The sequence below is a fragment of the Homo sapiens genome, chromosome 1, assembly GCF_000001405.40.
Source record: "Homo sapiens chromosome 1, GRCh38.p14 Primary Assembly".
In the NCBI taxonomy this organism is placed as follows: Eukaryota; Metazoa; Chordata; class Mammalia; order Primates; family Hominidae; genus Homo; species Homo sapiens.
The window spans coordinates 22,799,778-22,821,458 of record NC_000001.11 but is presented as its reverse complement, the minus strand read 5'-3'; the positions used below and the strand labels follow the sequence as shown (position 1 = coordinate 22,821,458).

Sequence of the window (21,681 nt, the reverse complement as noted above, 5' to 3'; positions counted from 1 at the left end):
CTGGATTTGATGACTTACTAGACTGCACTGTAAATTTCCATCTAAACATCAGCATTAGAATAATGCTGATGGAAGTCACTGATGATTGTCCCAATATCTGACCTCTCCTTATTCCTTAACAATAGGCTCTACTTTTTAGCTGGGCACATGGCATTCCAGAATCAAGCTTATGCTTCCTGACTGTCTTGCATCTGGGTAGTATAGTCATGTGATTTCGTTCTGGCTGATGAGATGTTAGCAGAAATGGTAGCTGCAATTTCTGGGAATTGTCCTTAAAAGAAGCATGCGTGTCTATCTTTACCGCTTCCTCTTTCCTCCTGGCTGGAATGTGGATGCGATGGTTGGAGGGTTAGCAGCCAGCTTAGATCTTGGGACCAAGACAGGAACCTGAGTCCTTCACGATTATGGAGCTGTACCAGCTGCCTACTTCTGGATTTCATTTACTTGAGGGAAGAATAAACTCCAATCTTGTTTAAGCCACCATTATTTTTATTTTCTGTTACTCATAATCCAAACTGATGCAAATGGTTAAAAGTGCATGCCGTGGATTCAAACATACTTAGTTTGAGTCCTAGTTCTACTAGCACCAATAATCTGAGCGATCTTATGCAAGTCACTTAACCTCTAAGTCTTGGTTTCTCTATCTGTGAAATGGTTATAATAACAAATACTTCTTGGTGTAGTTCCAAGGAGAAAATAAAACATTTATGTAAACCCATTGGCATAGTCTGTGTTTCATAATTAAGGGCTCAGTAAATAATAGTTGCTAATTTTTTTTCTTTTTTTTGAGACAAGCTCTCACTCTGTCACCCCGGCTGGAGTGCATGGAGTGCAGTGGTGCAATCATGACTCACTGCAGCCTCAACCTCCTGGGCTCAAGTGATCCTCCCACCTCAGCCTCCTGAGTAGTTGGGACCATAGGCACACACCACCACACCCGGCTAATTTTTTTGTATTTTGTGTAGAGATGGGGTCTCACTATGTTGCCCAGGCTGGTCTCAAACTCCTGGGCTCAAGTGATCCTCCTGCCTCAGCCTCCCAAAGTGCTGGGATTACAGGCGTGAGCCACCGCGCTCAGCAATAGCTGCTATTGTTACAGCTATCATTATTATTATTCTCATCAGCTAATCTCTGCCCTAGGAGCCCCATGAAAGCTGTCACTCCTGTTGCTCTCTGGCTTTCAGGGGAACCATCTTCACTCTCTGTTATACGTGGGATGACACATGTAAGAATGGGAACACCGAGGCTTCAATGCCAGAAAGACCTGGGTTCAAATCTCAACTTTACCATTTATTAACCGTGTGATCTTAGCTAGGTCTCACCACCTTTCTGAGCCTGCCTCCCCTTTTCCTGGGGATGGTGAGATATATCTCAACAGGGTTGTTTTGCAGTTTCAACCTGATAACCTTGGGGAGGGTCTGGGGTGGGGTTACTGCTGGAGAAATGGGAGCTGTAGCTATGGCTTCAGGAAGTGCCTGTCTTCAGCATGGAGGATACATGAGTGGTGTGGGTATGACCAGGCTGGTCTCGGCTCTTCCAGAGAAGAAAGTCATGCCATCACTCATCTTTTGGTCTAACTGGCCCTGAGGGGGTGGTTAAGACACGGAGAGGAAAACCAAAGCTCCATTAAAAAAAAAAAAAATCATCAATTTGTAGTAATCCAAATAAAAGCCATTAGATGTGGCTTCCTCACTGGAGGTACCCAGGGGCCTCTTCCTCACCAGGCTCCCAGGAAATTGATTGGCAATTACTGACACTAATGGGGGCTGGGGAGGCCTGGTGATTTCCCCATCACTCTCCAGGGACAGTGACGACATGTCAAGATCTGTCAGGCTGAGTCTGTCCCGGGGTGGTCAGGACCCCAGATCTGGCCAGAGATAGGGCAGCCAGCTGGGGTTGAGTGCCCTTGGGGACCCTCACCCCTTTACTTATTTATAACTTGGTTTGACTCATGGTGACTTAATGGCCCTACTGGGGCTATGCAGATGGCAGGTCCCAAGACAGGAGGATGAATGGGGGTACCAGGAGGCTTCCAGGACTGCCCTTCGACCTGGATCCGGAATTCCATAAAGAAGACCTCAGTCTTCACAAGAAGTCTTGGGGCAGAAAGGGAAAGGAGGGGCTGCCAGAGAGACTGGAACAGAGGTTGTGAGAGGCGGTGGCCGGAGATGGAGTTTCAAGGCAGAATGAAAAGACACAAAGACCAGCAGAGAGAGAGAGAGAGAGAGAGAGAGAGAGAGAGAGAGAGAGAGACATCTGCTGGGCGACCAGGCTGTGGAACTGCAGAGCTGGCAAGGCCCTGAGAAGTCATCTAATTCAGGCTTGTCTTTTTATAGCTCCTCGGCAGCAAAGGCACAGAGAGGGGAAGACACTATCCTAAGGTCTCACAGCATGGCTCCGGGGGAGGTGGGACTAGGACTTCATTAGCTGCCCCCAGTGAGCCAGGAAGTAAGAATTCCCCTGGGAGGGGGGAGCCTAGGTTGGGGTTGGGGGGCATTCACTCTAACCTATGGGGGCCATCTCTGAGCCTGGGGGCGGGGACTCTGTGTAGTGGAGAGAAAGACACATAAACAGATGGTGACAATTCAGAGTGACAGGGGAGGCATGAAGCGTGGGAGCTCAGGGGATGGTCAACTACCCCAGTCTTGGGGGAGGGAGTGGTTAAGGGAAGATTCTTGGAGGTGACGTCAAAACTGAGACCTGACGGATAAACGGATGCTAAGATGAACGGTGCAGGGGAGGGAAGAGAAAGAGGGGAATTCTAGGCCTAGAGAACAGCATGTGCCAAGGCTCAGAGGTAGGACTCAGCACATCCCAGTTGCACAGCATGGCTGAAGGCAGAATGGGAAGGCTGGGCCGGAGGGTGTCAGGCTTTCCTTGTGGGATAGGAAGGAGTTTGACCTTTATCCTGTGTGTAATCAGGACATGTTTTAGGTAGATACACACCATGACCAGATTTCCATTTTAGAAAGATGGTTCTGGAGCTGCCAGAGGGGAATGGCTGGATGGGGAAGAGGGCAGGCAGGGGGCGCAGGGAGACCACTGCCCAAATCCAGAATGATGACAAGGTCTGCAGAGCCAGGGCGGTGGTTCATGGGGCCAGGAGGGAAGGTAACTACTCAGGGATATTTAGGAGAGAAAATGGGCAGGACTTGGTGTCTGTCCCCATAGCCAGCCTGAGGTGAGGGAGGGCTGGAGGATGACTCGGGGTGGGACTGGAAGAAGAGGTCGTGGGGGGCTGGCCAGGTACACTGAGCTTGAGACAGATGGATCGAGCACAAGGACCTGAAGGCAGGTGGACCACGTGGTCTGGCAGAGGGTGAAAGGGTCAGCTGTAGTAAGGGAAGCGACAGACTAAGGATCAGAGAGGTTAAGTGTCTAAGCCCAGATGACACAGAAGGCAGGGGCTTTGCTGGCTTGAATCCCAAAGCCCAGACATTTCCTATCACTCGGGCTGCCCTTCAGGGAAAAGATAAATGGGCTGGGCCCTTCCCATTCAGCAGTTCCACAGCTTATACGCTGACCTCTGTCCCACCTCCCAGTCTAACCCCAGGAAGCTCAGGGATGGAGTCCTCTTCCCGTCCCGCCCTTTAGGAAGGCCCATCTTTGGCTATGGCTATGCAGGCCCCTAGCCGATGGGCAGTGAGGCTGAGACCACTGCAGTCCAAGGGCTCGGATCCCTGAGAGTTCATGCCAAGCAGGGGGTCACTCATGCCCAGAGTGTCTATGGGGACCAGGCTCGCCTTTAGCCTGCCTGCTCTGAGCTCTAGAAGAATGAGGGAGCATGGGCATCTGCTAGGTACGTGTCTATACATGTCCAGGAGCTCTTGGCTAAAGCACAGTCCAAGCTCTGAAAACTCCAAGAAGCTCAGGCACTGAAGACCCCTGTGCCCAAAGCACACCGGGGGCTGGAGACAAGGCCCCTGATTTGCCATTTCTGAACAGGAAGGAGCCTGTGGGCATGTGTGGCCACAGGATGGTCCATATGACTAAAAAGGCAGCAGACTATCCCAGCAGCAGGCATGGGCTCTGACCCAGGCAACTGCGGGTTCTAATCTAGCTGTGTGACCTTCGGTGAGTCACAAGCCTTTCTGTGCCACATTTCATCTGTAAAATGGGAATAATATCAGGACCTGCTTCAGAGCGTGGTTATGAGGATTCAGTGAGTTTACACATGTCAGGAACAAACAAGTTTAGAAGAGTTTATGGTCTAATCATGTTGCTTGGGATGATGATGATAATGCCACAGGTGGTCCCATCAAAGCTACAGCATTTTCATCTGGCCTGGTCTGACCCTGTGGAGGGAGCAGGCCTGGTTATATTTATTCTTGGCCCATTCTCACCCTTGGGGGCTGGCTGTGGCATCCAGCGAGGCTGCCCATCCACCTTGGTATTGATCTTCCTGTCTACCAGGAAGGCACGATGCATTTAACACCTCAGCCAGCGGCCAGTGATTATCCCAGCTGGGAGCCAGCCTGCCTGCTTGCAGCTCTGCAAGTGGGTCAGGGAGTTGGAGAAAAGTAAAACTTCTCAGAGGGGCACCCATGATGGTCTGGGGCTCTAGTGGTCGACGTCCTGGCCAGGAGACCTGGACTGAGGTCCTGGCTTGGCCCCCATCTCCCCCAGGGTGACCTTAGGCAAATCACTCAGCCACCATTAGCCTCATCACTTTAGACTTTATACATCTCCTGCCTATCCATCATCTCATCTGACCTTCATGACCACCCTGGGAGTCAGGCCTATATCCTACAGTTGCTGTGAGGGGCTACCTGGTGGCAAGGAGGCAACGCAGACCTGGAGGGTAGACTGTGCCACTCTAATCAGCAACGTGAGACAGGGTGGAGGCTGGAGGAGAGGGAACCGCAAGGGGTCCAGGTGGGAGGGTGGCAGGGGGAACGGCAGAGATGGGACAGGCAGAGGGAACAGCGTGAGCCAAGGCCCAGAGGATGGCAAGGGCAAGTTTGAGACCTAAGGTACTGGTGGGTGGGGATGGGGGAGTTGGGCCAATGGGCTTGGAAGGAAGAGTGCTGGAGAAGGCAATGCGGTATGAAGAAGGCAGGAGGCAGGACTGGGATTGTGACCAGCCAGAAACTTCCACGGGGCATGGGTAGGAACAGACATCCTGGTCAACCAGGGCCTTTGGCACAGTGCATGGCTCCTCCCCAGTGACAGACACAGCAGGGCTGGGGCTCAGAGAGGTCTGGTTTTAGGAGGGCCGGCAGGGCTATTACAGAAGGCCAGGCTTCCACCCTGGATAGAGACACCAAGTCCACACCCAGGAACAGTGTTAACTAGTTCTGGATGGGGATGTTCTCTGACTAATCCGACAGATGCCTGAGATGAGATGGGTGGTGGACAGTTAGGCTTGCAGCACAGGTGGTCTAAGTCCCATTGTATAGATGGGGGAAAAGAAGGCCCAGAGAGGTTAAGTAATTGGCTCCAGGTGACACAGCACGTGAATGGTAAAGTTGGATTTTAAATCCTCTCCTGCTGCTGCCAACACCCACACACCTTCTGCCTCTCAGAACAGCAGATGCCCGATGGACATGGTGGCTTCATAGACTGAGCCCTTGGAGAGAAAACTGGGAGCTTAGACAGCCGTCAGTTCCACTTCCAGCACCGCCCCGGGCTCCCAGCCATGCTTCCAGCCCCAGACCCCCACACTGCCTCCGGACCTTCGCCCAGGGCCTGCAAACCACTCTGGAAACTATGAACAACAGCCCTTGCAAATATAACAGATTCTGGAATCTTTAAACAGTCTTTGGAGCCTCCAAGCAGCTTCCAGGACTGACAAATTGCTTCCAAAATGTTCACATGCCTTCGGAATCTTTGAACGGCCCCTGAGACTTGGACCAAAATTGAGAGCCAAGAAGGGCCTGGGGCCAATGCAGGGCTCAGGCCAGCCTCCAGCGTGGGCTGGCTGCACCCAACACGGCCTGATCCTGGGCCCAGCCCCACCTCAGGTTTCACTGAGAAGCTTCATGGTGGCCTGGAGGGAGCACTGAACTCGGAGCCAGGGTCCAGCCAGGCTTCCTCTGGCCTCTACCTTGATGGGTGGCCTTGGGCAACTCATTTCTTTTCTATGGGCCTTGGTTTCCCTATTTGGAAAATGGGATTTCGGTGTGAGGGTCTTAGGCTGTGTGGGGCTGCACTTTGGGACTCAAACCCAGCCTCCTGTACCCCCCACAACCACCCCCCACCTTCCATCTCTAGCCTGTCCTGATTCCAAGGGCGGCGGGCTAAGGGAAGGCTCACATTTACCCAGGAAGAGCAGGCACGTGGTGGGCCAGAGAGGTGGTCTTGGCCCACATGGCTCTGCCGTCAATGAAGCAGACTTGACCTTTTCACTTTTCCTGGGAACTGGATTTAAACCCTCACCCCTTGGCATCCACAAGCACCTCTCAGGAAAGGCCTCTATGGGTGCCCTGCCCAGCGTGGTGACGGCCCCAGCACCTGGCAGCCTTCACGCGTGGCCATAGAGGGCGACTGGTTCCAGCCACCCAGAGCTGTCTCCATGGTTACAGGCACAGAGCCGAGCTGGGCTTTTGAAGAACACTCATAAAGGCGCAAATGTACCCCAGATGAGCCGGCGTGCATTTGTGAAGCAAAGCAGTCAGGCCAGCCCCATGCCTTGTAAACCACGGCTGCCAGTGGCCTCGGCTGGCCTGGTGAGAACATAGCTCCTGGGCCACTGGGCTCGGAGCCCATGCTTCTTCCCCGCCTCCCTGGGCCCTACCTCAGGCCCACTCAACCAACCTCAGTGGCTTTGAGGGTAGATACACCTCAGCTGCGGTTGGCTTTGTGGCTGTGTGACCTTAAGCAGTGCATTCACCTTTCTGAGCCTCAGTGGCCTCATCTGTAAAGTGGGCATGAGGAGACTACCATGATGCAGTGCAAGGAGGCTTGACAGGGAAATGGATGGAAAGGGCAGAGCGTGGTACAGAGTAGGTGCTTAGTGGGTGTCTGTTTCCCTCCATTTGCACCCCCCCACTTTCCAGCATCACCCTGCATAGGTATATAAGCCCACCTCCTCCAGGCAGTGTTGGGGACACCGCCTCCTGCTCCCACTGCACCCTGAATGTCGACTTGCATTAGGGCAGTCATCACCCTGAGCTGCAATGGCCTCTTCGTTGTTTCTCAGATAAGCTTGAGCACCTGGACCCAGTGCCCTACTAGCCTCACTGAGCAATGTTCAAGTTCGGCACTCAATGGGTCCTCAGTAAATACATAAAGATAAGCCAACAAATCCATGTGGTGAGTATCATTTCTTTTTCCTTTATTTTTTTTTGAGATGGAGTTTCGCTCTCGTTGCCCAGGCTGGAGTGCAATGGCGCGATCTCGGCTCACTGCAACCTCTGCCTCCCAGGTTCAAGAGTCTCCTGCCTCAGCCTCCTGAGTAGCTGGGATTACAGGTGCCCGCCACCCTGTCCTACTAATTTTTGTATTTTCAGTAGAGAGGGTTTCACCATGTTGGCCGGCTGGTCTTGAACCCCTGACCTCAAGTGATCTGCTCACCTCAGCCTCCCAAAGCGATGGGATTACAGGCGTGAGTCACTGTGCCCAGCCATGTGACTATCATTTCTGAGCCTCAGATACAGGGGTGTGGTCTTTGGAGGGCCAGAGGGCATATTTCAGGGGGGATGAATAGAATACTGGCCAGCCAGGGTGCCCAGTGCTCTGGGCAAAGGGCTGTGAAGGCTCCCTAACTTCTCTCATTGTAGCCCCCATTTTGCAGAGGAAGAAACCAGCGTTCAGAGAGTGAAGTCACTTGCTGTGGTCACATGGCTGGTGGACAGTGATGCTTCATCTGGGACACTTCATTCAGGAAAATCCGGGCATGCCCACCCATCTCCCAATGCCTCGTGGTGCCTACTGCTGACCCTACCTCCCAGATGGCCCCTCCACAGCCTCTGCCAGCACCCACCTCAGCTGCTCATCTCGAGGTCAACCTCCTGTGGCACAGGCCCTTTGTGCTCCCACAAGGAGCCGGACTGCACCACAGATAAGGCCTTGAGCTTTTTTCCCCACCCTCAGCCTCTGATCTCAGATGCCCAACTTCACCCCATTCTTCTTGATCCCATGCCTAGTGGACCCCTCACCCTACTCTACACCTTCAAGTCAGGCTCCAGATCACCAGAAATATCCTAGCCCTGCCGGCAGTGCCCCAGGAAGACAAAATACCCAGAGTGTGAATTCTGGTCCTGCCACTCAGGAGCTGTGTGACCTGTGACAAGTTACTGAACCTCTCTGAGCTTGGGTTTCCTCACCTCAAAACAAGAGAACCTGCCTGACTGGCAAGTTGAAGGGTCTAGATATGCTTTGTAAACAGAAAAGTACTAGGTAGGTGCTAGACTTTATAGAATTATAACAGAGTATGATACTGAAGTATAACGCAAGTATATAATATGCCAAATTATAATAAATTACAAATCATCAATTAAAAGGGTACTAGATGTCAGCAGCCAGCTGGGGGCTTGTGGGTGACAGAAGAAAAATACAAGACACAGATTTAGGCTCCTGTGGCCAGTGAAGGTGGTTTGTAGTCATTCACTCATCCCTTTACCTGTCTGTCAGTCCATCCACCAAGTCGTCAATCTGGTCATTCTACCAACACTCATCAAACTCCTGCCAGCCTCAGATGGGTTGAAGACGGCAATGCTCGACTCCCACCCACGATGAACAGCAATGCCAGCTGCTGTTTATGGAGTCCCATCTAACCAGGCTTGCTCCAACTTCTTTCATCCCTATAGCTGTTACTATGCCCATTTTACAGATGAGGACGCCGAGGCTCAGAGAGCCTGAGGCCAGGACCCAGCTCAACATGAGTGGCCCTTCTGGCTGTGGGGCCACGTCCCTCTCCCTCTGGCTGCCCTGAAGTCCCCTCCCTCCTGCCTTCACAGGCAACGTCTCGCTCTCCACAGCCCCCGCCCCCAATTTCCTTCATTCTGAGGGTCCCCCCACTCAACCGGGTGGGTCTGGCACCTCTGAGTACCACACCCCTCCTGCTGTGGTTTCCAAGGGTTCATAATTTCCATCTTCATCCGTTTCTTATTAATTTTCTTACAAAATGTGTTCCATGATTTCACTGACATCATTGCTGCCCACTCCGAGTGGAAGCCTCATGGAAAATCCCCAGGTGGGCCCAAGGTGCGCCAGCCTCCAGCAGCTCAGGCCCCGCGGGCAGGGCCGCAGCTTCACTGCTCCCCTGGAAGCTCCCCTTCCCTCCCTGGCCAGGCAGGACAAGTGGGGTATGACTGGTGGTGCCTACATTCACTACAATTTCATCCTCCTAGTATCTGGAGAGGTAGATGTGGCGCCTCCATTTCACAACAAATATCTGGGGGCTCAGAGAAGTGAACTGACTTGCCCCGGGCCACACAGCTAAGCAGGGCTGTGGCTGGGGTTTTTATTTCGTTTTTTGAGACAAGCTCTTGCTCTGTTGCCTAGGGTAGAGTTTGGCAGTGTGATCATGGCTCACTGCAGCCTCGACCTCTTAGGCTCAAGTGATCCACCTACCTCAGCCTCCTGAGGAGCTGGGATTATAGGTGCATGCCATCATGTCTGTCTGGTTTTTAAATTTTGTGTAGAGATGGGGTCTCACTATGTTGCCCAGGCTGGTCTGGAACTCTGGGACTCACACGATCCTCCTGCCTTGGCCTCCCAAAGAGTTGGGATTCCAGGCATGAGCCACTGCCCCCGGCCAAGGGGCTGGGATTTTAAGCCCAGGCCTGACTCTGCAGGCTCCCTCCCCTCTGCCTCCTGTACATGGTCCGAAAGAACTACACTTCTTTCCCGGTCTTGGGGTGGGATGACAGGGACCAGGTGACATTTCAGGGGAAATTAGGTGACAAGGAATCATATGGGGCCTGGATGGGAGTGGGATGGGAAGGCAGAGAGACTGGAAGATAAACTTTCTGCCCTCCATCCCCAGTGCCCAGGCAATTATCTTTAGCCCCTTATCTCACCACCCATGAGGACAGACAAGCTTGGGGACAGCCATCCTGAGAGTGAAAGAGAAGGGAAAAGATGACTTTCTGCCTAAACCTGGCCTGGACATCGTAAGTATGGTGGGGACTGATGGAGTGGGCGCTGTCTTGCTCTGTGGTGCTTGCTGGTCATTAGGGTCCGAGGAATTAAACAGAGAAGCACAGAGAATCTGGACCTAATGCAGAGTTCACAAACGTTGGACCCGAACTTGGCCCTCAGGGATCTCCTACGCCAGTGGTACCCAAAGCACAGGATGGCTGGTCCCATTCTCAGACCAACAGCATCAGACATGGGATTGGGGGCCTCGGAGATTCTCATACACACATGGGCTACGGATCATTCATCTTTCCAACCCCTCTCATTTTACAAATGAAGAAAAAGAGGCTCAGGGAGGGCAAGGGACTTACCCAGGTCACGCAGCACATGGGTTGTCAAGCTGAGACAGGACCCTTTCTTCTGACTCCCTAGTTTAGGTCCTTGACACCTCACTCCAAGGGGCAGGGAACAGGGTGTTTTAATAAGAGCCTGTTTGGGAGCTGCCAGTGGGCTGGGTGGCACTGAGGAGGGGGACTTGGGGCTGCCAGGGCCTCTTGGGTGTGTTAGGGTGCCTGAAAGTCCCTCATTCGAACTATACTTCTTTCCCGGCCTTGGGGTGGGATGACAGGGACCAGGTGACATTTCAGGGGAAATTAAGTGACAAGGAATCAGATGGGGCCTGGATGGGAGTGGGATGGGAAGGCAGAGAGACTGGAAGATAAACTTCCTGCCCTGGCAGCTCTGCTGGGGTCGGTTGTGTCCCTGAATGTGCCCCTTGTCATGGGAAGTCCCTGCACCCCCTGCCCTGATCCCCACCCACTGGGAAACTCCCAAGAGGTGGGGATTTACCACTCATTCTCTCAGAGAACTCTAGGATGCAGAGGTGTAAGGACAACCTCTGGTTTAGTGCCTTCTTTGACTTTTGGGGAACCCAGGCCCAGAGAGAGGTGACTTGCCTCAGGTCACAGAGTGAGTTAGTAATGGCCCAATGTGGGGTGGTGCCAGACAGGTGGATGTGAAGCTCCTGGAGGGCAGCACGAAGGGGAGGCTCAATGGCCAAGCAATCCACCAGCTCCCTCCACCCCACCACTGTGGGGCACAGGAAACAGGAGAACAGTGGAGGGCTGGGGGACCCCTGGCCGAGCCCAGGGCCCCTGCTGCATGGTGTTGAGCAGGCCCTTCCTGCCGTAGGATCATGTTGGCAGTGGCAGGGTCCCGCTCCCATCTCCTGTGTCTCTTCTTGGCTGGTGCCCAGGTCTCCCGCACAAGAGCTGCCTAGTCCAACCCTCTAAGTCCCCCAACCCCACCGATCTTACCAAACACCCCATCAGGCTGAACTCCGGGTCACTTCCCTAGCACGCAAAGCACTATAATGTCCATGCTGAATTCTCCACCTGGAATGCCCTTTGACCCATCTCCACCAGGCAGACTCCTATTCAACCTTCAAAGCCCAGCACAAGGTTTGTTTCCTAAGTGAAGCCCTACCCTACCTTCAGAACCAGTCAAGCTGACCAGACCTTGGGCTCACATATTGGCCAACATATATCTTCAAAATGATACTTCTCAGAGCAGGGAAGGGGTCTCATGCTCTTATTCTTCTCTGTGCCTGCTGTGGAGCACCACATAAGTCCACAGCACACACTGGGTTTTCTCTTGCTCCTCGCGCAGTCTTGGTGCCTAATACAGTGCTACATACAATCAACCAGAGACCAAGAGGGAGGTCTGTTCTATGCAAGAAGCAGAAGCTTAGAGTTAGACAGTCCTGGGTTCAAATCCTGGCTCTCCTGTGTGACCTGGCAGATGCCTCCTAACCTTGCTGGGAGTCAGTTTCCTCATCTGTAAAATGGGGATAATGATGTCTACCTTGCAGAGAGATGGTGAGGATTCAACAAGGATCCTGGCACACAGTGAATGCTAAATAATTAAATGAGTATGTATATAACATATACGTTATGTATATTAATATATCAGATACTAATAAGGATGAATAAAGACTGTATTTCCCTGGAAACTTGTTCTTAGGCACTGATCTCTTGGAAAAACATCTTAGGAAGGTTTCTGTCTGATCTGTAGACATCTCTGCACCCCAACCTAAGCTCCACTTAATTGTCTTGCTCTGAGGGTGCCGAGTAAATACTCCAGGCCAGCTGGTGCCTGGAAACTGCCAATTGCCGGGGAGCAGCTCGTTAATTTTCCCTTCTCTGCACAGACCCTGCAGCTTCTGCAACTCATCTTGGGAAACTGAGCGGAGTGGGTCAGGCCAGGGCCAGGGGTCACAGGAAGTGGGGCTGAGGGTGCCAGGGGACTTAAAAGGGCCTGCAGAGGCACCGCCGGGAAGCTGTCTGGGCCCGAGGAAATGGGCCCAGAGGCTGCTGAAAGGCAGATGGATCCCAGGCCTGGCCCGGCCCCACCAGCTCTGACTCAGCTGTCTGTTCTCCACTGGAGTGGGAGAAGCCAAGGCCTTATAGCAAGGCAGGATGCCCAGCAGCCCGCAGGGTGGCCAGCTCTGGGGGCCACGAGGTCCCATGACGATGGAGGACAGGACATATGGCATAGTGGTTGAGAGCATGACTCTGGAGTGAGGTTCCTTGGGTTTGAATCTTGGCCCTGCACATCCCGTACTGATGTGTGGTGTTGGGTAAGTTACTTAACTGCTTTGTGCCTCAGCTTTTCTCGTTGTAAAATGAGAAGATGAAGATTAATACCCGTGTCATAAGGGTGTTACGGGAATTAAATATACATTAAGAGCTTAGAACTGTGCCTGGTATATAAATATCACTCAGTAAATGTTAAGCTATTAATCTTATTATCTCTTCCTCCCCATTCAGAAGCATACTATTTGGATGTTCTCATCTGCAAAATGTGAGCATTGGACTTGACTCTGCGGTGACACGTCAGTTTCACCACACTCACCAGCTCCCAGGAGTTGGCCTCGGGCCCCTTCTGGACTGGGTGGAAGAGGGCCGTGGTTAATTTGGTATGTCTGCCCTGTGCCCGGGAAGGGAGACAGGTAGCTTGTGGGCCTCTCACTTGCCATCATTGGGACATTTTATTTACTCAGCAGATATGTCCCCAACCCTTGCTCTGTGCCAGGCACTGGCTGAGGTCCTGGGATTCAAAGGAGAGTGAGCACAGTCATGGTTTCCTGCAGGAGCTGAGAAATGGGGTGGGTGCAGCACCGCATTCAGGTTTGGGGAACCTCAGTCCCCTCATCCACAATGGGCCCAGTGATACCCCTCCTGCCTGAACTGCTCACCTTTCCTGGAATTTGCTTTTCTTTTCTTTTTCTTTTTCTTTTTTTTTTGTGACAGTCTTGCTCTGCCGGCCAGGCTGGAGTGCAGTGGCACCATCTCGGCTCACTGCAACCTCCGTCTCCCAGGCTCAAGCAATTCTCCTGCCTCAGCCTCCCAAGTGGCTGGGACCACAGGCATACGCCACCATGCCCAGCTAATTTTTGCATTTTTAGTAGAGACAGGGTTTCACCATGTTGGCCAGGCTGGTATCAAACTCCTGACCTCAGCTAATCCGCCTGCCTCGGCCTCCTAAAGTGCTGGGATTACAGTCATGAGCCACTGTGCCTGGCCAGAATTTGCTTTTCTTTTATGCCCCTGGCCTTTGGCTAGAATACTTTTGCCCCACTGTCCTCTTTGAGAACCATTCACCTTTTGAGAACCAGCTCAAATGTTCCACCTCTCCCTGCAAAGTCACTCCCTCCTCTGTGCTGTCCGGGAATTCTGTAGAGCCCTCCACCATTGTAGGGCACTGCCACTGTGTAAGGGTCTGTTGGTGGCATCTTCCCTTTACTGGGAGCATCTGGAGGGCATGGATGTGGCTGTGACTTCCCTAGTACACATGGCACATGCTCAGACCATGGGGGTAGAGGCTGGGAGGGAGCTGGACCAGCTGACCTTTTGACTTCTAGGAGGCTGGGCTCCTCATATGCGTAGATCCAACCAGTATGCTCAGGCCAGAAAGCTTGACCTTAAATGCTGGTTCTGCTATGTCCTTGTCATGCCTGACCAAGTCACCAAGCCGTTCTGAGCGCCTTGGCAGCTCCATCTATAAAATGGGGATATTTCAGAATGATGGTGTGTAGAGCCAGAGTCTAGCAAGCGCCCTAACATACAGCAGGTGCTCAATAAAAGCCATTTCTCCCTTTTCCTTCCTTCCTAAGGTAGTACTCAGGGCCAGCATCTACACCCTACAGTGCCCAAGTCAGAGACAAGATTCTGGGAGAAAACATGTGGACAGCCCAAATTCCAGGAAGCAGGCCCAGAGGAGCAGAGGAGACAGAAGGGGAGAAGGGGAGGTGACAGGTCCCTCAGAGGTGCCCCAAGTGGCTGTTCCTCGAAGCGTGGGACCCATGGCCCACATGTGCCAGGCCACCCCAGGGTCCTCAACTATTCCTGCTCCCCCGCCTAGCTGGGAAGCGTTCCCATCCTTCCTTTAAGCAGAGGCGCCTGCCTCTTGGTGCTGCAGCCGGAGTGCTGATAATAAAGGCACCTCTGTGTGTCTCTGGGGAAGTAGGGCTGGGGGGTGGTGACGAGGGGGGGCCCACAAAGCTCCCGCAGCTGTGTGTTTGCAAACAGGGGAGCTGAGCTGTGCAGAGGGGCTGAAAGCACTAATTGTCTTTAATTAAAGGAGGTTGGAGGCAGTGCAGGCTTTGACAAAAGAGATTTCCAGCCTGTTAGCAGCTTCAGCCTATGCAGGCGCTGGGCCGCCCAGGCGCGCCCTCGGCTTTGTCCCTGTGGGGCCTGGCCCTGTGGAGGGCACAGCTAACACCTGCCTGGCGGGGGTGGGAATAGGGGCGGCAGGAGCCAAGCACACGCAGTAGGACCTTACTGTGCTGAGAAGCTGGGATCCTGGGGCCTGGGAAGCCATCCTCATGGTGAACTCCTTTCCCATCCATCCATCCATCCATCCATCCATCCGTCCGTCCGTCCGTCCGTCCGTCCGTCCATCCATCCATCCACTCATTGACTCAGCAAGCACTGTTGAGCATTTGCTATGTGCCTAGCCAGTGCTCAGAGCCGGGGGCACAGAAATGTGGCAATTCCTGCGGTTCAAGGACTTGGTATTCTAAGAGGTACAGTGAGCACAGACTCTGGAACCTGCTGGCTTGAATCCTGGCTCTGCCACTTATTAGCTGTATAAACTTGGGCAAGTTACATCACTTCTGTGCACCTCAGTTTTTCCACCTGTAAAAGGGGGGTGATTACTGAGTTATAAAGTGTTTGCCCTGTGCACTTTACAAACATCAATGGCTATTATTCATTCTTTCATTTATCCAACTTTGTACCTGGCTGGAGTCTCTAGCATTCCATTGATGGGAAGAACCGTGGTCTAGGAGGCTGGTTGGGTTCCAGTCCCAGCTCTGCCAGTCACTTGCTATGTGACTTCCCAGCCTCAGTTTCCCCACCTGCACAATTAGGGCTGGACAGGATGGAGTGTGAGGGAGGGCTCTGCGGGCATGGATGGTCTCAGCTCCCTCCAGAGTCCTGGGAATGGAGGCTCCCTTGCTGGGCTCCTGCCCCCTGCTGCATACAAATGGGCTCGGCCTCCCACCCCAGGCGGCTGCTTTAGCTCATTCCATTCTTTTGTCTTCTCTTTCACCAGGCTCACCCTCAGACACATCTGCAGCCCCCCTGGCAGGCACATATGCGCTAGTGAGCTCCCTCTCCCTCCCAATCTCTCTCTCTCTCTCATACACACATGTACATGCACCTGCCTGATTCTCACCCTCACCCCCATTCCCACCCAAAAGAATCACAGCCTTTGCACCCCCACCCGCTCCTTGCTGACCCTGGGTCCAGGATGGGTGGGAGGTGGCTGCTCACAGTCTCTGATCCCCTCCAGCCCAGCTGTCTGGACTGGGTGGTTGTAGAGAGGTGGGGAGAGGGGCAGAGGGTGAGAGCATCCTGTGCCAGAGTCCTCAGGCAGTGGGAGGGAGGTCAGCTCCTGAAAGGGAGGGCCTGAGTCAGGCCACAGGGGAGTGGCAGGTCTGGAATGTTCACCTTGGGGAGTACCACAGGAGGTCAGGAGACATTTATCTCAGCCCACTCTGGGCTGGCAGCCCCTCGTTTAATTTATTCAAGGGCCTGGGGGGGAAACTGAGGCTGAGAGAGACTGCGTACGGCTCAGAGACACACAAATGGGGTCACCTCGAACCAGGACACACTTCTGTCCCTTTAGAATCCATTTTCTGAAGTCCTTCAGAATCAACAGGCCAGGCCCCCTGTGGGACATGGATTTGACAGATGTCTGGTGTGGACTCCGGGTGCATGGCTCATCCCGTACCTGCAGGATGCCAGCCCTGGGAGGTGGTGGGGGCAAGGAGAGGGGGCAAGGTGTGGCCCTGGTATGTAGGTACCTGTGCCCCTTGCTAGAGGGGGAGGTTGGGGGGCATGTCCTGACCCCAATGTGTCTGGGTTGAGGAGGGAGGATTCACTCTCTAGCCCACAATTTGCCCAGGGTCCCTGGCATGTCCAGGCACAGGCAAGTGGTCCCCTTAGAGAAGGAAATGGGGAGGGAGCTAGAGAGACGGGGAGAGAGACAAGTGGGGAGGCAGGGGAGGGAGAGAGAGAAACAGAGAGGAGGGGAGATGGAGAGACTAAGACAAGGAAAAGGAAGACAAGAGGACACTGAAGGAGCAGGGGACAGAGGCGGGGGCAAAGAGACAAGGGGAGGAAGGAGAGAAGAGGCAGGTGGGAGGGAAGAGTCAAGTTCAGAGAGCTGGGAGGGGCGGGAAGGGTGTGGGATGGGAAAGAGCTGGGCCAGTGGTGGCCCAGAGAAGCCTGACCTGGAAGGGGCCCAACTGAGCAGGGCAGGGTGGGGCGGGGAGGTTCCTAGAGGGGCTAAGGAGGGTGGCTGAGGACTGTGAGTGAGTCTGCATGACTGTGAGAATGCACTTCCAAGTGTGAGTGGGTGTGAGCGTGCGCTTTCAGGCCCAGGCAGACTGGGGTGTCTCGTCTTGATCTCTTGGCTTCACACACCCTCTGCATTTTATATTCATGAGAACTGAGCTGAAAGATTAATTCATATTTAATACAGCCTTCGCTGGCAGGATGGGGGGTGGTGCAGATTTTTTCCTTAAAGGCACTAGGTAAGGAAGAATTGATTGATTGATTGATTGGTTTTCTCCATCCATGCATCCATCCCCCACCCACTAAGCACCTCCTGTGTGGCAGGCACAGTGCTGGGCAGGAGGACCAAACCAGCCAACCCAATAAGCTCATTCCTACACTGGCCGCGGCAGCCTGGGATGGTGGGAAAGGTCTAATGCGGTCCTGAGTGTAAAAGGCAGTTCCATTAATGTGCTCTGTGAGACCGCACAAGCCCTTCTGCCTCTTGGAACCTGTTTTCTCACTTGTAAGACGGGGTGGGCAACTCCTGCTCCCAGGGATTGGTGAAGATGTGTATGGAATGTGCCTAGCACCACCACAGAAATTCCAGATCTCTAAGGTTGGCTTGTGGCACTGTGGCCTCCTAACCACTATCTCTAAACACTTTTTTTTTTTCTCTTGAGACAGGGTCTCACTCTGTTGCCCAGGCTGGAGTGCACTGGTGCAATCACAGCTCACTGCAGCCTAGAACCCCTAGGCTCAAGTGATCTTCCCACCTCAGCCTCCCTAGTAGCTGGAACCACAAACATGCATCGTCACACCCCAGCTAATTTATATATATATATATATACACACACACACACATATACATATATATACACATATACATATATATACACACATATATATACATATATACACACATATATATACACATATATATATATACACATATATATACACATATATATATATATTATTTTTTTTTGAGACAGGGTCTCACTCTATTGCCCAGGTTAGAGTGCAGTGGTGAGATCATGGCTCACGGCAGCTTGGACCTCCTGGCCCAAGTGATCCTCCCACCTCAGCCTCCCTAGTAGCTGGGACTACAAGTGCGTACCACCACACCTGGCTAATTTTTAATTTTTTTGTAGAGATGGGGTTTCACCATGTTGCCCAGGCTAGTCTTGAACCCCTGGGCTCAAGTGATCCTCCAGCTTCAGCCTCCCAAAGTGCTGAGATTACAGGTGTGTGCCACTGTGCCCGGCCTAACCACGATTCTTACAGAAGATCCTGAACATCCAGTGGCTGCCAACTCCACAGCGGCTGCAGCTGTGCAGCCTCACTAGGGCAGCGGGTGGGAGGTGGGTCAGTCCTGCCCGGCCCAGGCAGCTATGGAATGAGCACAAAGATTTGAGGGACAGGAGATGCCCTTCCCCTAGAAGCCCCACAACTACCCTGCCTCTCAGGTTAGGATAGCCAGAGCCTCCTCAGGCTATTTCTTGCTTGTCCTCCAGGTCTCTGTGCTGGTGGCCCTTCCTCTAGAAAGGCCTCTGGGACTCCCAGGCTCAGGGTGGTCCCATCCCCACATCCTAGTCCTAGTCTCCCCAGTGGGTCCCCATAGTCCTTACTGCTCCATGCACACACTCCACCCTCTCTGTGCACCAGGGGCTCCTTGTCTCTGTCCACTGTGGGCTCCTGGGGGCAGAGGCCATGGCAGATCCCACTGTGTTCTGGCCCAGCACAAGGCCTGACACATTTCTAGAGGGGCAGGGGCATTTGCTGGTCCGTGAGCTGAGAGTCAGACCATATTCTACCTGATACTGCTTCCCCTGAGGGCCTGAAATCCACCTCCTCAGATGCCATATCCCTCTGTGGGGAAGGGCATCAGGGACTCTCATCACTCAGGAGGTCCAGGGAGTTGGGGGTGGGGCTGGGTGGTGCGGGTGGACAGGGGGATGAGACATCTCTGCTACGGACTACCCTTGTGTCCTCGAGCCAGACCTTTCTCCTCTCGGAGCCTCAGTTTCCACAGCTGTAAACCAGAAGGGTAACTTTCATGGTGCTGGCTGGGGAAGGGCATAGTCTTTGGCCTTAGACTGGTGGCCCTGCCAAGGGGTGGCTGGTGGTGGCAGATTCTCTAGACACATCTCTCAAAGCCTGCCACCTCCCCATTCTTAGGGTCCCCACCTCCATCATACATAAAGTGTTTTGCAAATGAAGAGTCAATACCCACCCCTGCAATCCAATCAATCCCCCAAAGCCCCTCCCAGGTGGAAATCCTTCTGGTGCCCACTCCACTGTAGACACAGCTGAGCTTGGCTGCCAGCTCTACCCTCCAACCCTCAAATGGGGAACCAAATAACCCAACTGGGCCATCATTTCCCCCATGGGCCTCCTATAGGCCAGGCTAGTCTGCCCCCTAGCCCCCTTCTCTTCTCTTCCCCAAGCTGGATTCAACACTGGGCGGGCCCCCTCCTCCACTCTCTGCCTGGACGTGACATTCACCAGCATCACTTCTGGTCCCATCTGCGAGCACCCCACCCCCCAGCAGCTAATCCCCACAAAGCCCTGCGCAGGGCCCAGCATGACAAGCAGGCCCCGCGCTGCTTGCAGCTTGGCTGAGCGTGCTCGGAGGGGCTGAGGCGGGATTCGGCGCGGCTGTCACTCTCCCTGTCCGCTCCTCTAATTGGATTCCCAACACGCAGAGGTCAGCAGAAACGCTGGGTAGAGGAGAATCAAAGGGAAGGGGCGTCTGGGAGATAAAGAGAGGCATTCTTCCTGGGCCACAAAGACTGCAGCACGAGGGGGCGGGAGGGGACCCCACGAGGGGCTGCCCATCTGGAGGGGGAAGGGGATGGGATGGGAGAGCCCAAGGCAAGTGACAGAGGCTGAGGGCCTATTTCCTCTAGGCTGGAGTTTCCCTATGCTGCACCTCTGCCCACATGGTGCCTTGGGCCTGTAGGCCATCCCCTCGTGTGGGGTCTGGGCATCCTCTAAGGCCTGGCCTCTCACTCCTGCTTGCTGGAGGAAGCGTTCTTGGAATGCGGTGGGAAGGTTCCGGAGTCCACTGGACCTGGGTCCCAATCCTGGCTTGCCACCTGCTCTCGGTGAAGTTCGACAAAGCCCTTGCAGTTCTCTGGGGCTCGGTTTCCCCTCTGTGGAAGGCGGATAACACCAGCTGCCACCCAGGGCGGTGGCTGGGATAAAAATGAAGGGATGTCAGCAAAATGCTTGGAGCAGAGGGCCCACAGGAAGGGGGGCATTCATGGGTGTCCCTTCCCAAAGCTCCTCTGCTGGCCTGGCGAGGACAGACACAAGCCTCTCTCCCCAGATGAAAGTGCTTCGTAAACGTAACAGCCGGGACAGATGAGAGAGAACCTCCAGCCTTGGCAGGGGCTTCACCACTCACATCTTCACCACCACCCTGTGCCTATCGGGCAGAGGAGGAACCCGAGGCTCAGGAAATGACGGGAAATGGCCAAGGCCATACAGCTAGAAAGCAGCAGAGTCTGGCCAGGGAGCCTGCCCCCTGTACCCCTGCAGGGCTGCTGTGCCCACCTGAGCACGACAAGCAGGTCCTGTGGGTATATGTGTGTGTGCAGGCACAACCGGTGGAGGAGATGGGCGGGCCAGGGATGGAGCGTTGCGCAAAACAGGCCTGGTTTGCTTTAAGAACACTGGAACCACTGATTTTGCTTCATGAAAGAGGCATGAATAGGACCTCAAAGGGAATTTCTAAGAGACAGAAAATCAATGGCCCTGACATATCTTGGTCCCCAGAAAGAGAGAGAGAGTGTGTGTGTGTGTGTGTGTGTGTGTCACATACACACGCACACACTCCACAAATTGATCCAGCCATGTGCGTGCACACACACACACACACACACATATACTCACACAGATAGGGCTCACATATGCTAACAAGTACCCATTTTCACGTACATCTGGCTTGATAAAATATACAGATGTACACATGAATCTGAATACTCTGGCTGATTTCCCTGTGAGTGGGTGGGCACCCATGCAAACACACACCTGCATGACCCAGTGAGCGTACTCAACAGCAGTGGCGTGTACACACAGATGGGGACCTCCCTCCACGGCTGCACCCACACATTCTTAGGTGTGTGCTTTGATCCAGCACACTCATGAGTGTGCTCCTCCCTGCACACATATGCTGGGGCAGGTCAGGCAGACACAGGAACACACCAATACAGGGAGAGGAATGGCTCCCAGCAGGCTCCAGTGTCACCCACACAGGCAAGCTCTGTGCGCAGCCCGCCCCTGAAATGTACGTACATGCCCATAGATCCGAGACGTTCCAACAGCATGTGCAGAGGCTGGCTCAGTGGGTACGCTAGTGCACGTATGGGCACACAAACAACTCCCAGCAGGCCCAGCGCACACGCATGCGTACAGGGACGCTCTGTGCTGACCCAGCACATGCGTGCACATCCCTCCCGGGTCTCCGGGGAGCTCCCACAGACAGACAGCTCTGACAGCAGGGTGTGGGGGAGGGCAGCTCAGGGCCAGGGTTGCCAGGGATACGGATGTGGGGCTCTCAAAGCTGCATGGCCTGCCCAGGCAGCACAGACACGCCAGTGACCACTCTTAGGTCTTTAAAATGTTGCTAATCAGATGGCAATGCCTTTAAGGGAGGGAACTGGGAACTTGAGGCTGGTTTCCTAGAAGGAGCCAGTATAACCCTGACAGGTCCCAGGTCAGGCCTGCAAAGACCCCAGGGCGGAATCTTTTCTCTCTAAGGCTGCCATGAGGCTCTGGGCCCAAAATTTGCTGGGGACACAGCGACAGA

The 21,681-nt window shown here is 53.8% G+C and overlaps 1 protein-coding gene across 7 annotated transcripts in view, besides 2 other annotated features; it reads right to left on the bottom strand.

Moving 5' to 3' along the window:
• The window catches only part of EPHB2 (EPH receptor B2), a 210,663-nt gene that overhangs the window by 100,042 nt on the left and 88,940 nt on the right, over positions 1 to 21,681 (bottom strand).
• Positions 10,677 to 11,177: an enhancer, noted in NCBI's record as "H3K4me1 hESC enhancer chr1:23136775-23137275 (GRCh37/hg19 assembly coordinates)". NCBI's record gives its function as "activates a minimal SCP1, AML or CMV promoter by ChIP-STARR-seq in primed H9 embryonic stem cells {active_cell/tissue: H9 hESC(primed)}" and the evidence as "EXISTENCE:reporter gene assay evidence [ECO:0000049][PMID:30033119]".
• Positions 11,178 to 11,678: an enhancer, noted in NCBI's record as "H3K4me1 hESC enhancer chr1:23136274-23136774 (GRCh37/hg19 assembly coordinates)". NCBI's record gives its function as "activates a minimal SCP1, AML or CMV promoter by ChIP-STARR-seq in primed H9 embryonic stem cells {active_cell/tissue: H9 hESC(primed)}" and the evidence as "EXISTENCE:reporter gene assay evidence [ECO:0000049][PMID:30033119]".